Here is a 15,311-nt window from a genome sequence, read left to right as displayed (position 1 = left end):
CTCCTGGGCTCAAGTGATCCTTTCATGACAACACCCAGCTAATTTGTGCAGGCAGTGATTGCAAATATTGACAGGCAGGTCGAAGAGCTGGAGCTTTGTCCTGGAGGTGAGGGGACCCACTGCTGATTTTTTGGTAAAGATGTGGCATGGTCTGTGTGGAGCTTCGGGAAGCTTGATGTGGTAACTGGGGACCAGATGACATGGGACTGGAGCAGTGATTATAGGAAAGGCACCAAGATAGCACCTCAAAGGAAGGCTGGAGCAGGGCTCAAGTGTCTTTGAATCCAGGCCTAGGATATAAAGTGGGCTCAGAGAGGTGACTGCCTGGGGAAGGTGTCACCATGGACCTGGCCCCTGCTGGTGAGACAAGATCTTGCCTCCAGACTTACTCTGTCTTCCAAGCTTGGTCCTTCTTTCCCCCAGTGGCATCTTTGCCGTTGAAGCTTGGTGACGATCTGCCTACTCTGAAGTCCCACAGCACCCCGTTGACATGCTCCTGGGTGTGTTCCACCTTCTACTTTGTGTATAGTGATTTGGTTTCTCAACTCTCCTCCTCTAGCTTGAGCCCCTTGAGGACAGAGATGACAGTCTAGCCAGCTGTGTGGCCACCACAAGCCTGGCAGCAGCTGAGACATAGAGAGAGGACTTGGTATGGCTTTGGCTAACTTAAGCCAAATTGAATTGTATGGAGGAGCGAAAGTCACTGATTTCTTCTTTCTCTATTCACCATATTAATTCTGTTTCTAAAACGGGTCACTGAAATGTATGCACACATCCAGCCCAGCCTGGATGAAGCCCAGTCGCCCCAATCCAAGCTGTTCATCCCCACGGGGCCCTGCCAGCCACTCTCCATCCTGTCTGTGGCTCTCCACCAAGGGGCTGACAGCCACACATGGCTCATAGGCTCTCTTGCCCTCCAGCACCAGTCGGGGCTGGCCAGTGGGAAGTGCCTTTCAGAGATGAGATGGAAGGGTGGGGGAAAGAAGCTGGGATATTTTTCCTACTCTATCCCTGCCCTGGGCATATTTTCTGTCAATAGCTGTGTGTTCATCCTCACCTGCAGCCCTGCCCCTCCACAGCTTCTGTGGGGTGGCCCCTTATCCAGAGTGCAAGCACTCTCTGGGTTCCAGAAACACCATTTTCACTTCTTCAGGACTCTTCCTGCTGTTAATAGTGTCTGTGCTTCAAATTGATTGATTCCCTTAACCTATGTGAATAACCCCCTTTCTACAATCTCTTGAACCATGGGAGGTGGACTGTGTTTCCTGCTGGGCACTAAGACACAATCTGTGGAGAGGAATGGGGCACTCAGAAGGTGTGGGGGCTTGGTCCTCTTACGGTGGTTTAGGAGAAGATAAGAAAAGTGACTCCATCTTTGTTAGCTGCCTCCAGTTACTCCATCTGCCTGGAAGAGGAGGTAGCCAGGGCTTAATACGTGGTAGGTGCTTGAGATAGACAGGTAGGTAGATAGATGGATGGACAGATAGATAGATAGATAAAATAGATTAGATAGACAGATTAGATAGATTAGATGATAGATTGATAGATTAGGTAAATAGATTAGATAAACATACAGACAGATTAGATAGATGATGAATAAGATAGATAAAATAGATTAGGTTAGACAGAAAGATAGATTAGATAGATAGATAGATAGATAGATAGATAGATAGATAGAGACAGACATTTAGGGACAGACACAGTGGCTCACACCTGTACTCCCAGCACTTTGGGAGGCTTAGGCGGGTAGATCACCTGAGGTCAGGAGTTCAATACAAGCCTGACCAACATGGTGAAACCCTTCTCTACTAAAAATACAAAATTAGCCGGGCACAGTGGTACGGGCCTGTAATCCCAGCTACTCCAAAGATTGAGGCAGGAGAATCGCTTAGAACCCAGGAGGCGGAGGTTCAGCAGTGAGCTGAGATCGCGCCACCGCACTCCAGCCTCGGCGACAGAGCAAGACTCTATCTCAAAAAAAAAAAAAAAACAAAAAAAAAACAGACATACAGACAGATAGATTAGATAAATAGATGATAGATAAGATAAACAGATAAAATAGATGAATTAGATTAGACAGTCAGACAGACAAGATAGATATATAAGGCCGGATGCAGTGGCTCACACCTGTAATTCCAGCACTTTGGGAGGCCAAGGCAAGTGGATCACCTGAGGTCGGGAGTACGAGACCAGCCTGGCCAACATAGTGAAATCCCATCTCTACTAAAAATACAAAAATTAGCTGGGCATGGTGACGCACGTCTGTAATCTCAGCTACTTGGGAGGCTGAGGCAGGAGAATCACTTGAACCCGGGAGGCGGAGGTTGCAGTGAGCCGAAATCACGCCACTGCACTCCAGCCTGGGCAACAGAGCGAGACTCCATCTCAAAAAAAAAAAAGATAGATATATGTCCAGGCACGGTGGCTCACGCCTGTAATCCCAGCACTTTGGGAAACCAAGGTGGGTGGATCACTTTAGGTCAGGAGTTGGAGACCAGCCTGGCCAACATAGTGAAACCCTATCTCTACTGAAAATACAAAAATTAGCCAGGAGTGGTGGTGGGTAGTCCCAGCTACTGAGGAGGCTGAGGTAGGAGAATCGCTTGAACCCGGGAGGCGGAGGTTGCAGTGAGCCGAGATCGTGCCACTGCACTCCAGCCTGGGTGACAGAGTGACTCTGTCTCAAAAAAAAAAAAAGATAGATAGATCAATAGATAAGATAGATACATAAAGATAGATAGACAGATATAGATAGATTAGATAGATAGGTGATAGATAGATAGATAGATAGATAGATAGATAGATATAGATAGATAGAAGCCGGGTGTCGTGTGTGGTGGCTCATACCTATAATCCAGCACCTTGGGAGGCCGAGGCAGGCAGATCACTTGAGGCCAGGAGTTTGAGACCAGCCTGGCCAACATCATGAAACCCCCGTGTCTACTAAAAATACAAAAAAATTAGCTGGGGATGGTGGCGGGCGCCTGTAATCTCAGCTACTTGGGATTACTTGTAGTGCCACTGCACTACAGCCTGGGCGACAGAGTGAGATTTTGTCTCAAAAAAAAAAAAGATAGATAGATAGATAGATAGATAGATAGATAGATAGATAGATAGATAGATAGATGATAGATAGATACAATTTTGTTTAAACCGGGGAAGTAGGAAGAAAAGAGGTCAGGAAGGAGGTTTCTGAAAAAGGAGGAAGGGAGACTAGCCACCAGTGATGGTGAAGTGTTTACAGGTTAGCATGCAGATGGGAGGCATCTAGGGGAAGGCTGCAGTGAGAAGAGTAGAATAGGAGTAGCCTCATACCAAAGAGTGGTTCCCACTGTCCCCCATCCCAGACTGACTGGGTCCTTGGTGAGCAGGGGATGAAAGAGGGGAAGTCTCCATAAACGATATCCCTTCTCTGGGGTCCAAATTCAGCTTACCCTGATAAGATGCCTGGGGAAGACTAGAGGCATTCTTGACCCTTCCCCATATGGTGGCTGTTTTGACTCCCCCAGCTCCATGGTCCTGAGGTATGTGCAGACAGCCACCTCCCTGCCTCCAGCTCCCTGTTCTGCCTCATCTCACCCCAAGGCTCTGCTAAGTGGAGGAGGCTGTGGGTTTCCAGCATGCTTGCTTTGGTGCTTTGGGCTTCCGCTGCCACCCCAGAGATCTGGCCTTTGATTCCCATACTCAGCGTCCCCAGAGGTGTCTTACCCTAGTACGGTAGCATCCTGTATACCAGCACTCCGAGAGAGGCTGGGAGGGCTCTCTGGTCCCTCAAGCCCTGGCACGTCTCTCTCTCTCTTTCTGTCTCTCTCTCTCCCTCCTTGCTTCTCAGCTCACATCTGTGCATTTCTGTATCTATGCTTCCCAGCCCCCAGCTTATGCCCCCAGCCTGCAGCTCCCTGTGTCTGTGTCTGTCTTCCTCTTTGCCTCATATACCAGGCGGCCGTGCTGGCTCTCCCGGGCTCCCCTGGAATGCCCCTTGCCTCTTCTCCTTTTTCAGCTTCCCCTCTCAGGCTGCCACTAAGCTCTAGCTCCTTCCGGTCTGTACACAGTCCTCCTGGCCTTTGGCAGCAATGCAGACCCTGGACAAGCTTTGATCTGTGGGGAGCCTGCCGAGCACGCCTGCAGCCCAGGGTGGATGTGAGGGAGCCGGCTGCAGGGTGGGAGGGACACATGGACAAAGGGAAATGGACAGAGTTCCCCAGAATGCACAGAGCCTCAAGGGAGGAGGGGAGGGAAAGATGTGGGAGAGAGAGACCTGGAGCAGCTTGTTAAAGCAACAGCTATGCACACACAATCCACAATCACACACAAAGCGCAGGGTAGTACAAAAAAAGAGGAAAAGAAGAAATTCTGAGAAGCAAGACAGATGCACAGAGCATAGATCCAAAGTGAGGCAAAGAGAGACTGAGAAAGAGAAGAGACCAAAATGGCAACACACACCACGCACTTTCTCAGAGCCTTGAGGTTCCTGCCGCCCTCACCCCTGGCCCCCAGGGATGGGATGAGGGGCGAGGCTTGGGAGGGTAAGAGGGCCCAGCTCCACCACAGCGAGAGTCTGTGGTCCCACAGGCACTTTTATCTTCTCCCCATAACCCCCAAGCAGCCCACTCAAGCCCAGCCGCGGGATGTGCCCCACCGCGTTCACCCTCTCTACTGCTGACTAGCTTCCTATAAACTTCCTAGAGACTGTGACCCCTCTAAGGAACTCTTGTGGTTGGTGGCTGCAACCTCCGCCATCCTCTTCTTCGCCTCAGACACCCACATCGGGGGAACCGTGCCCACCCTCCTTCCCTCATCCCCTCAAAGGTACAGAACAGAGCTCAAACTCAGAGCCTTGCAAACCCAGACCCCTGCCCACCTACTTCTGATTCCCCACCTTCATCAAAGTTATTTTGAGACAGGGCCTCACTCTCGCCCAGGCTGGAGTGCAGTGGCACAGTCAGGCCTCACTGCAGCCTCCGTCTCCCAGGCTCAAGCAATCCTCCCACCTCAGCTTCCCAAGTAGCTGGAACCACAGGCACACACTACCATGCCCAGCTAACTTTTGTGGGGTTTGTAGAGATGGGGGTTTCACCATGTTGCCCAGGCTGGTCTCAAACTCCCAGGTTCAAGCCATCCTCCTGCCTCGGCCTCTCAAAGGGCTGGGATTACTGGTGTGGGCCACCACGCCCGGCCCATCACAGGTATTTCATTCAACAAACATTTATTGAGTGTCTAAAATGTGCAAGACTGGCCCAGTATGGTGGCTCACGTCTGTAATGCCAGCACTTTGGGAGGCCAAGGCGGGCGGATCATTTGAGGCCAGGAGTTTGAGGCCAGCCTGTCCAACATAGTGAAACCTGGTCTCTACTAAAAATACAAAAAGTAGCCGGGCGTGGTGTTGGGCTCCTGTAATCCCAGCTACTCAAGAGGCTGAGGCAGGAGAATCGCTTGAACCCAGGAGGTGGAGGCTGCAGTGAGTGGAGATCACGTCATTGCACTCCAGCCTGGGCAAGAGAGCGAGACTCCGTCTCAAAAATAATAATAAAAAATAAAACGTGCAAGACAATTGGTCTAGCCAATTGCCCTCAGCACCACCCCGCCATTACGGCCAGGGTCAGAGCCTAGGGCTGCCCCCAAGCTCTGTCTAGCACCAGTGGTGGGAGGAGTTTTTATCTAGATATAGACCTCTCCTATGTAAGTGCTCCCACATTGAAAGAGGGAAATCATCTCCCGAGTGTCTCTAACGCTGTCCTCAGGGGCTCTTTCATCTGACTTTGAGGGCGGCGGCCATTTTGTATCAGCCTACAGCATCTGATACAGCACAAGGAATTATTGGTCAAAATGTGAAGTAGCAGTGACTTCCCCCATCAGGCCCTGCTCTTAGCCTTGCCCCGATAAAAATGTCCACCACAAGAGCAGGGCATTCAGGAAGCACTATCCCACTCAGAGTGAAATCTTTGAATTATTGAGAACAGGGCCTTTCCGTTTTGAGGGATCAGAACGTACCCCAGGAAACCTCTCTCCCAGAAGAAGCCTATGAGGGGAAAGCAGAGGACACTGGGGATAGCACGGCTTCAAGGCCATGAGGTCTCAGGGGCTGGAAAGGTCTGAGGGCGGAAAGGCTGAGATGGCACAGGGCTTCCCTTCAGGAGGGACAGTGAGTCCTCACTCTCCCTCACACCCTGCCAGGCCCAGGAGGGGCTGCACATCCTTCTGTAACTCTCCCGGCCTCATGAGACCCCTACCACCAATTCTTTTCGAATCCGTTTCTTAAATGACATATTTATCTAAAGATATGTATCTGCAACTTTTAGGGCAATTCATACGCAAAAGCTCAGTTTCAACACTTTCTGAGAATTTTAGCTTTCCTATTTCATGAATCATTTTAAAGCTAACTAGAGTAGAAGTGCCTTTAGACATTGTTCAAAAATCTTAAAAGAGCAAAGAAGCAGACAAAAATTTAAAAATACACACAGAAACACAAAAGGTAGTTAAAAGAGACTATTACATAGATCATGCGACTTATGAAATGCTGCAAGTATGATATTTGGTGTCAATTTTTGGAGATTGTCCCGTTAAGGAAAATTGGTTTTGCAAGAATTTTCTCTAGACTAGATTCCACTTCTTTTGCTCTTTTTCTTGTTTTTATGTTTTTCCTCATCATTTCTTTTTTATAGGTTTCCTCCCACCTTATATTTATTTATTCTTTCTAATTTTTTCCCTCCCCTTCTTCACTCTTTTTCTCCTCTTTTCCCCTCTTCCAGTCTTCTCCCCTCAACTGCCCACGACTAGTTGCCTTCCACGCCTTTCCCAGCCTGGGATAGTCTCCAGTCTTCACTCCCTCTCTGATCTTGCTATTTAGGTCACTACTCCTCTAAGGAGCACCCATTGCTCTGGACACTGAGCTGTGCACGCTGGGGCTGCAGAGAGGAGTCTAGCACAGTCTCTGACCTCTGGAAGCTCACAGTTCCAGTGGGAAATCGCTGCTCATGACCAGTTCCAAGAGAAATGCAAGAGAAGGTGGCCAGAGCTGTGGGCAGACAACTGGGCAGAGCACATTCCTGTGCATCTGCCCCACGTTCCCCTCCCTCTCAGCTCCGGGGAAGGAAGCCGAGTCTGACCACCTTACCTCTGGGCTTGCGTCTTTCTTGCCCGCTGCTTCTCAAACAGGCGTATCTGTGTGAGGACTTGGAGCTCTGCAACCAGGAGCCCAGTGGGGAGGGTGCTTTGTTCCTTCTGCAGAGTCGTGCTTAAATGAAGAGAGACAGGAAGCCCGATGGCAAGGCTCCTCCACACCCTAGGCCTGGGCCGGCCCCAAACGTCACCAGCTGGAGCTGGGTTCCCCACCCCCCAGGCTCTCAGGGAACATGTCAAAGTGAAAATGCCAAAGTCAAGGGAAAAAGTTAAGCAGAATCAGGCTTAAATCAGGAGTCAAACTGTCACTGCCACTGTTAAGCGGCAAGAAAAAGATGGCAAGAAAGATTCCATTAGTGGTAGCGCCATGTCTGACCAGGCTGTGGGGAAAGAAGTGGGAGGCAGTTGGGGGCATATGGGAACAGCAGTGGTAAGCCCACAAACAGCTCCTTGCTCTGGGGCCCTGAGGGCATGTGTCCAGTGGGTGCCCCAGGGGTATCTGTGGAGGCTTTATAGGTGGCCCAGTGTGGAAGAGAGGGCGTGGGCTGAGCAGAGAATATCTGAGACACCAGGAGTGACTGTTAACCAGGCTCTGTTCCTCTAGGCGTCTCTGGCCAGGCCTCAGGTGCTTTCCTCTAGCCCGAATCTACCATGAACTCTCTATGTGAGTATCCGTCTGCCCATTGGACATCTCCACTGGGAAGCTCACCGGACATAGCAAACTCAACACACATCCCCAACTATGCATACCACCTGCATACTACCACCCTCCAAACCTGCTTCTCCAGGCTTCTCACTCAGTGAGGGGCTCACCATCCACCAACTTGCCCAAGCAAAATAAATTGGGTGTAATCTTTGACACCCCCTTCACCCAACTTCTCCCACGTATTTATTTACCAGTTCCTGTGGATGTTACCTTCTAAATGGCTCCAAAATCTACCCAAGTCACTCTGCACTACCACTACTGCCACCATGCCAATCCAAGATGCCAATATCATCCCTTGCTCGGACAACAGCTCCTGCCTCCTCACTGGTCGCCATTCTCCATACCACAGCCCAAGTGATCATTTAAAGATGCACATGTGAGTGTGCGTTTTCCAGTCTGAAAAAAGTGGGGCTGGGAGTGGTGGCTCATGCCTATAATCCCAGCATTTTAGGAGGCCGAGGTGGGGGGATCGCTTGAGCCCAGGAAGTTGAGGCTGCAGTGAACCGTGATTGCACCACTGCACTCTAGCCTGAGTGACAGAGTGAGAACCTGTCTTGAAAAGAAGAAAAGAAAAGAAAAGAAAAGAAAACTCTAGTTCAGCTTGCGACTCCAACAATTAACACAAGTACCCCTATTTGACAGCATTGTACTTCATCTGTAGCATATAGTACTGTGTGCTACTTCTCATTTCATGACACACCGTACTCAAGGGTTGAGATTTAATAAAATTAGTATTTACTGCTTCATTAAAGGCATTCTATATATATATATATATATATTTTTTTTTTTTTTTTTTTTTGAGAGGGAGTCTCACTCTGTTGCCCAGGCTAGAGTGCAGTGGCGTGATCTTGGCTCACTGCAACCTCTGCCTCCCGGGTTCAAGCAATTCTCCTGCCTCAGCCTCCCAAGTAGCTGGGGCTACAGGCATGCGCCACAATGCCCAGCTAATTTTTGTATCTTTAGTAGAGATGGGGTTTCACCATGTTGCCCAGGATGGTCTTGATCTCTCTTTTTTTTTTTTTTTTTTTTGAGACAGAGTCTTGCTTTGTCATCCAGGCTGAAGTGCAGCAGCATGATTTCGGCTTACTACAACCTCCGCCTCCTGGATTCAAGCCATTCTCCTGCCTCAGCCTCCCGAGTAGCTGGGATTACAGGCACCCGCCAACATGCCTGGCTAATTTTTGTATTTTTGTAGAGACAGGGTTTCACTCGTTGGCCAGGCTGGTCTTGAACTCCTGACCTCAGGTGATCCTGATCTGCCCGCTTCGGCCTCCCAAAGTGCTGGGATTACAGGCACGAGCCACTGCGCCCGGCCTCATTAAGGGCATTCTTAAGTAAAAGTGGCATTAATTTTTTTTCTTTTTTTACTGTAAGTACCTGGCAGTGAAGAATGCAATGACTATCATATGGTTTGGCACCACTGCCTTCATTTATGCTAAGGCAGCAGTTTTATCCAGATTGTTTTTGCAACATTATTGCAATGTCAACATAGTGACAAAGGAAAATAACATCCTGTATTTTTTTATGAAAATAGCTTGACCTTGAAGATCCCCTGAAAGGGTCTCAGGGACTCCCAAGGGTCTGCAGGCCACACTTCACTCTGAGAACCACTGATCTAGGTAATTTTTATTCATTCTTCAGATCTCAGCTATCGCTTTAGCTGTCCCCAAAGTCTATTTTCTCCTTCTTGGTAATAGAACCCTCAATTTTTAGCTGAGCTCTTAGCTACCCAGATTTAAAATATACTTCCCAGCCTCCCTCACAGCTGGATGTGTCCAAGTGACTCAATTTTGGTTAATAGATAGAAGTGAAAGTATTAGGTGCAACCTCAGAGTTGCTCCTCAAAGTGGGGAAAATGTATCCTCCTCAGGCCTTCTTCCTTCAGACTAGAAAGCAAACACCCTCCCTATTGTTCACAGCCAGTCTGCTTTTCTCATTTACATTACCTGGCAGGCTCTGGTAGGCATTGATGTTTTGAGCCCTGCTCCATTCATTCATGTACGTAGTTAAGCGTGTACCAGCCCAAGGCACTCTGCTAGGTAGCTGGGGATGTGATGTTGAAGAAGACAGATATGGTCACCACTCCAGCTTATGACATAGACACTAAACAACGAACAACTTCATTACAATTCGACAAGCGCTACAAAGGAAAAAGCACAAGGTGCTGGGAGATCTTATCACAAAAGAACCTTCTTTCAACTGGGAGAATTGTCTATCGGTAAGCACTGGGTTCTGCTACAAGCAAAAGAAAACCCAAAATAATAGAGGCTTCAACAAGATTGAAGTTATTTTTCACATGTAGGAAGTGTGGAGGTGGGTGGTGCAGAAGAGAGGGAGCAGCACGCCGTCCTCCAGGGCCAAGATTGGGGCTGTTTATATTTTGTTGCTCTACCATTCTCCTGCACAGGACTTCCTCCCCAGAGTCTCAGAGGATACTCAGGTTCCTCAGTTGAAATCAGTTTTCCTTGTGATAAGATCTCCCAGTCCCCTGTGCTTCTCCCTTCGTAGCAATTTTCCAGTTGCAATGAAGTTATTTGCTGCTTAGTGTCTAGCTCACAGGCCAGAGCGGTGACCGTGTCTGTCTTAGTTAGCACTATGTTCCCAGCACCCTCACAGATGCCTTGGCCCTGGAAGACCCTTAATGCTTGTTTAATATTTTCCTAATATATTAAATTTTATTGATATTAAATTTATTGCGGTAAAATACACGCAACATAAGATTTTCCATTTTAAGCTTTTTTTTTTTTTTTTTCCAAGACGGAGTCTTACTCTGTCCCCCAGGCTGGAGTGCAGTGGCACAATCTAGGTTCACTGCAACCTCCACCTCCTGGGTTCAAGCGATTCTCCAGCCTCAGCCTCCCGAGTAGCTGGGACTACAGGTGCCCGCCACCACGCCTGGCTAATTTTTGTATTTTTAGTAAAGACGGGGTTTCACCATGTTGGCCAGGCTGGTCTCGAATTCCTGACCTCAAGTGATCTGCTCACCTTGGCCTCCCAAAGTGTTGGGATTACAGGTGTGAGTCACCACACCCGGCCATTTTAGGCATTTTTTAATGTACTGCTCTGTGGGACTGAGTACACTCACATGGTTGTGTAACCATCTAGAAATTTTTCATCTTCCCCAAATGAAACTCTGTACCCATTAAATACTGACTCCTCATTCTAACTCCCTGCAACTCCTGGCTATTGAATAATATTTTTTTTTCTTTTTTCTTTTCTTTTTTTTTTGGAAACAGAGTCTTGCTCTGTCGCCGAGGCTCGAGTGCAGTGGTGTGATCTCGGCTCACTGCAACCTCCGCCTCCCAGGTTCAAGCGAATCTCCTGCCTCAGACTCCCGAGTATCTGGGATTACAGGCGTGCGCCACCAAGCCTGGCTAATTTTTGTATTTTTAGTACAGACAGGGTTTCACCATGTTGGCCAGGCTGGTCTCGAACTCCTGACCTCAAGTGATTCTCCTGCCTCTGCCTCCCAAAGTGCTGGGATTATAGGCGTGAGCCACTGCACCAGGCCAAATAATTTTTGAATGGATAAATAGAGAAGTATGGACAAGAGCAGGAGAGCAGGGCTACAAATGTAAATGCTTACAGGAGCCCCCTAGGTAGTGCAAATGAGAAAGGTACACTGGTGGTGACCAAAAGGGAAGGGTAGGGACTGGGGGAAACCAGAGAGTACTTGCCTCAGCTAGTTAAGGGCAGCCATTCCCTGCATAGCTGTCTGAGTTGACCGTAGAGGCTATACTGGCATGTGAGCCTAGAGTTGCCTGCTCTGCCAAAATTTCTAGAGAAGGTGAAAACCAGACATTTATGTAATACCTCCTGATTTTAATATTGGTAACAAATTTTTTCAACTTGTCGTGACACTGGGTAGAGCAAACAGAGCATTCCAAGGGCTGGCTCTAGCTTTGGGCCCACCGGTTTGCAGATTCCAGACCCGATGGACGGTGTGAGAACTTGCAGCTCTGTGAGTCTGTGGCCTGGAAGTCAACGGTCCTGAGAACCTGGCTCTCTCTCTGGGGTTTCCAAACAGGAAAAGAAAAAAGGAAGAGAGAGGGTGAGTTTATAGTAAACATTTGGCATTGTTGTGTGCTTTATGTGGTTGTATCTTTTATTTAATCCTCATGAGAGTGATAAGACATAGGTATTATTGTCCAGGCCATACAGATGAGGAAACTGAGGCTTGAAGAGTTTTTTGTTTTCTTAGACAAGGTCTCGTTCTGTCACCCAGGCTGCAGTGCAGTGGCACGGTCACAGCTCACTGCAGCCTCAACCTCCAGGGCTCAATCTATCCTCCCGCCTTAGCCTCTCAAGTAGCTGGAACTACAGGCATGTGCCACTGTACCCAGCTAAATTTTTTTTTCCCCTAGAGATGGGGTTTTGCTATGCTTCCCAGGCTGATCTCAAACTCCTAGGTTCAAGCAATCCACCCACCTCAGCCTCCCAAAGTGCTGGGATTACAGGCATGAGTCACACTGTGCCTAGCCGAAGAGTTTCAGTTGTCAAAGGTCTCAGAGCTAGTAACCACAGCTGGTGGAACCGGGATTTGAATTCACCCGCTTGGACCCCAGTTTCTGGGTGGTCCCCCTCATTGCACTGCCTCTCCTCTGCATTAAGAAGGTCCAGGACCAGGCATGGTGGCTCGTGCCTGTAATCCCAGCACTTTGGGAGGCCGAGGCGGGCGGATTGTGATGTCAGGAGATCCAGACCATCCCGGCTAACACGGTGAAACCCCATCTCTACTAAAAATACAAAAACAAAAACAAAAACAAACAAACCAAAAAAAGAAGGTCCAGGCGGGGCGTGGTGCCGAGTGCCTGTAGTCTCAGCTACTCAGGAGGCTGAAGCAAGAGGATGCCTTGAGCCCAGGAGTTCTGGGCTGTAGTGCACTATGCAGATCAGGTGTCTGCACTGAGTTCAGCTTCAGCGTGGTGACCTCCCGGGAGTGGGGAACCACCAGATTGCCTGAGGAGGGGTGAGCCAGCCCAGGCCGGACACACAATGGGTCACAATTTCCATGCTACCCATGCTAATCAGCAGTGGGATCGGGCCTGTAAATAGCCACTGCGCACCAGCCTGGGCAACATAACGAGAACCCACCTCTAAAAAAAAAATAAAAAATAAAAAAAGAAGAAGAAAGGCCAGGATGACAGCTAAGAGAAGTCTTCTCCCTTAGCAGTGGAGGGAGGTATGAGGCCCACTGCCTCACCTGGAGCTTCTGAGGCTCAGCAGTGCCATGGTCCTCACATCTCTAGAGTGGTTTTCCATTTTCCAAGCACTTTCACATTCATTTGTACATGCCAGACCTTTTTGGTAGGTGTTGCTGTTACTATCCTTACTTTACAGAAGAAGAAATGGAAGTCAAGCTGTCTGCCCCCATCACATGTCTGAAAGCATGGAACAGGGGGAGTTCCAGAGGCTATTTTTGCTGCATGTATCCTGCCTCTCTAGGCTGTAGAACGGGAGGAGGCCAAGCCAGGGGAAGGAGTGATGGGGAAGAGAGAGAAGCCGGTGTCAGAGGCTACAGACAGAGTGCTGGAGACTGGATGATCTGAGAGGCCTAGGGCAGCCAGGGTTGCAGGAAAGTTGAAAGCCCCAGGTGCAACTCTGCGGTGGCCTCCTTACCAGAAGTATCTTTGGCAGCACTGACGCCCTCTGCAAAGGGGGCTGGGGGCAGGGTTTGAGGATGGGGAGCAGGGGAGGGGTCTTTGGGGCTGTTCTCTGGGAAGCAAAGTCTAGGAGCATCGATGCCATCTCTACCCCATCCACATTTCCCCTGGCTCCAGGACCACTTTTTGCCACTCTCAGAGGGTGGTTCTGGGCCTCCCCTACCCCACGGGAAGTTTGAGTAGGCACGTTTCAGAGCTCAGCCCGGGCTCAGACAGCTGACACCTGCAGCCCCTTGGAGAAACTGTCAGCCACAGAGTGGAGCAGATAGAACCGACCCCACCCCAAAGCAATTCCCTTCAAAGGAAGAACCCCACCCTGGGGTGGGCCTGTGCGGGGGACCCTAAGCTCCTTGATCTCCTCCTTTGAAGGAGGGATAGCAGCAGGGGCTCAGGCCTGAACCCTAACATCTCTACCTGGTAGGGGAGGTGGGCAGGGAAATTTCTGGGCCTGCAGAGGCTCCTCCTCTGCACTATGGAGCTGAGAAGACCACGTCAGGGGTAGGGGAACCGCTGGCAAACCCGACTCCAAGGCTGAATGTGCACAGTATGGCCTCCTACCTCACACACTCGACTTGCCAAGGCCCTGGACCTCACTTGGCTTCCAGAACTTCTGGAGAGTGGACAAGAGAAGAGGGCTGGGGATGGAGATGCTCAGAGACGTCCCTTCCCGTCTCTTGGCCTATCTCTGTTTCAGGCACTGCTCCCCACTCTGACAGCCAGGCTGCAAGATGGCCCCCAGTGACTCCTGTCTCCCTCAGTTCACACCCTTGCATTGCCCCCTCCTGCTTGCACCAGGTTGGTCTCTGTGATCAATAGAATAGGGCAGAAATTATGGCACGTTGCTTTCAAGATCAAATCTAATCTTGAAATAAAGATGTGGTAGCTTTTGTCTTTTCCACGCTGTCCCTCTGGGGGAAGCCAGTTGCTGTGTCGTGTTGTGAGAGGCCCCATAAAGACACCCACACAGGGAGGAGTTAAGGCCTCTGGCCGACAGCCTCCCGAGTGAGCTGTCTTGGAGGCAGAATCTCCAGCCCCATCCCAGCCTTCAGATGGCTCCAGACCTGACCCTCACCTCAGCAGCAACCTCATGAGCAACCCTGTGCCAGAACTACTCAGCAAGACTGCTCCTGGATTCCTCGTTGTGTGAGATAATGTTTATTATTATTGTTATTATTCTTTTTAGACACAGGATCTCACCCTGTCACCCAAGCTGGAGTGAAATAGCACAATCATGGCTCACTACAGCCTGGAAATCCTAGCCTCCAGTGATTCTTCTCCCTCAGCCTCCTGAATAACTAGGACCACAGGTGCATGCCACCGTGCCCAGCTCATTTTTAAATTCAAAAAGAAAAAAAAATGGTAGGCTGGGTGTGGTGGTTCACGCCTGTAATCCCAGCACTTTGGGAGGCCGAGGCAGGCGGATCACGAGGTCAGGAGATCCAGACCCATCCTAGCTAACACAGTGAAACCCCGTCTCTACTAAAAACACAGAAAGTTAGCCGGGCGTGGTGGCTGGCGCCTGTAGTCCCAGCTACTCCAGAGGCTGAGGCAGGAGAATTGCTTGAACCCGAGAGGCGGAGCTTGCAGTGAGCCGAGATGGCACCAAACTGCACTCCAGCCTGGGCGACAAAAGCAAAACTCTGTCTCAAAAATAATTTATTAATTATTAATTAAAATACAAAAATTCAAAAATTAGCAGGGTGTGGTGGTATGCACCTGTAGTCCCAGCTACTTGGGAGGCTGAGGCAGGAGAATCGCTTGAGCCCGGGAGATGGAGGTTGCAGTGAGCCGAGATCAAGCCACTGCACTCCAGCCTGGGTGAC

At 49.6% G+C, this 15,311-nt stretch overlaps 1 protein-coding gene and 1 pseudogene across 9 annotated transcripts in view, besides 4 other annotated features; one reads left to right on the top strand and one right to left on the bottom strand.

Moving 5' to 3' along the window:
* CD4 (CD4 molecule) overlaps positions 1 to 7,249 on the bottom strand; it is a 31,272-nt gene extending 24,023 nt beyond the window's left edge. For all 9 annotated transcript variants that reach the window (NM_001382707.1, NM_001382706.1, NM_000616.5 and 6 more), the window contains exon 1: positions 7,115 to 7,249. The gene's annotated coding sequence lies outside the window, so the exon portion shown is untranslated. The remainder of the gene's footprint in view (positions 1 to 7,114) is intronic.
* Positions 4,178 to 4,227: an enhancer, noted in NCBI's record as "active region_5883". NCBI's record gives its function as "activates an Ori minimal core promoter by ATAC-STARR-seq in GM12878 lymphoblastoid cells {active_cell/tissue: GM12878}" and the evidence as "EXISTENCE:reporter gene assay evidence [ECO:0000049][PMID:35858748]".
* Positions 7,208 to 7,765: an enhancer, noted in NCBI's record as "H3K27ac-H3K4me1 hESC enhancer chr12:6898178-6898735 (GRCh37/hg19 assembly coordinates)". NCBI's record gives its function as "activates a minimal SCP1, AML or CMV promoter by ChIP-STARR-seq in primed H9 embryonic stem cells {active_cell/tissue: H9 hESC(primed)}" and the evidence as "EXISTENCE:reporter gene assay evidence [ECO:0000049][PMID:30033119]".
* Positions 7,343 to 7,392: an enhancer, noted in NCBI's record as "active region_5882". NCBI's record gives its function as "activates an Ori minimal core promoter by ATAC-STARR-seq in GM12878 lymphoblastoid cells {active_cell/tissue: GM12878}" and the evidence as "EXISTENCE:reporter gene assay evidence [ECO:0000049][PMID:35858748]".
* Positions 9,700 to 9,994: a silencer, noted in NCBI's record as "tiled region #1171; K562 Repressive non-DNase unmatched - State 3:PromF". NCBI's record gives its function as "represses a minimal TATA promoter and a strong SV40 promoter by Sharpr-MPRA in K562 cells {active_cell/tissue: K562}" and the evidence as "EXISTENCE:reporter gene assay evidence [ECO:0000049][PMID:27701403]".
* RN7SL380P (RNA, 7SL, cytoplasmic 380, pseudogene) lies at positions 12,616 to 12,923 on the top strand (annotated as a pseudogene).

Source organism: Homo sapiens, chromosome 12 (genome assembly GCF_000001405.40).
Source record: "Homo sapiens chromosome 12, GRCh38.p14 Primary Assembly".
Lineage (NCBI taxonomy): Eukaryota > Metazoa > Chordata > Mammalia > Primates > Hominidae > Homo > Homo sapiens.
Note: the sequence above shows the minus strand (reverse complement) of the source record. Positions and strands in the feature narration are given on the sequence as shown.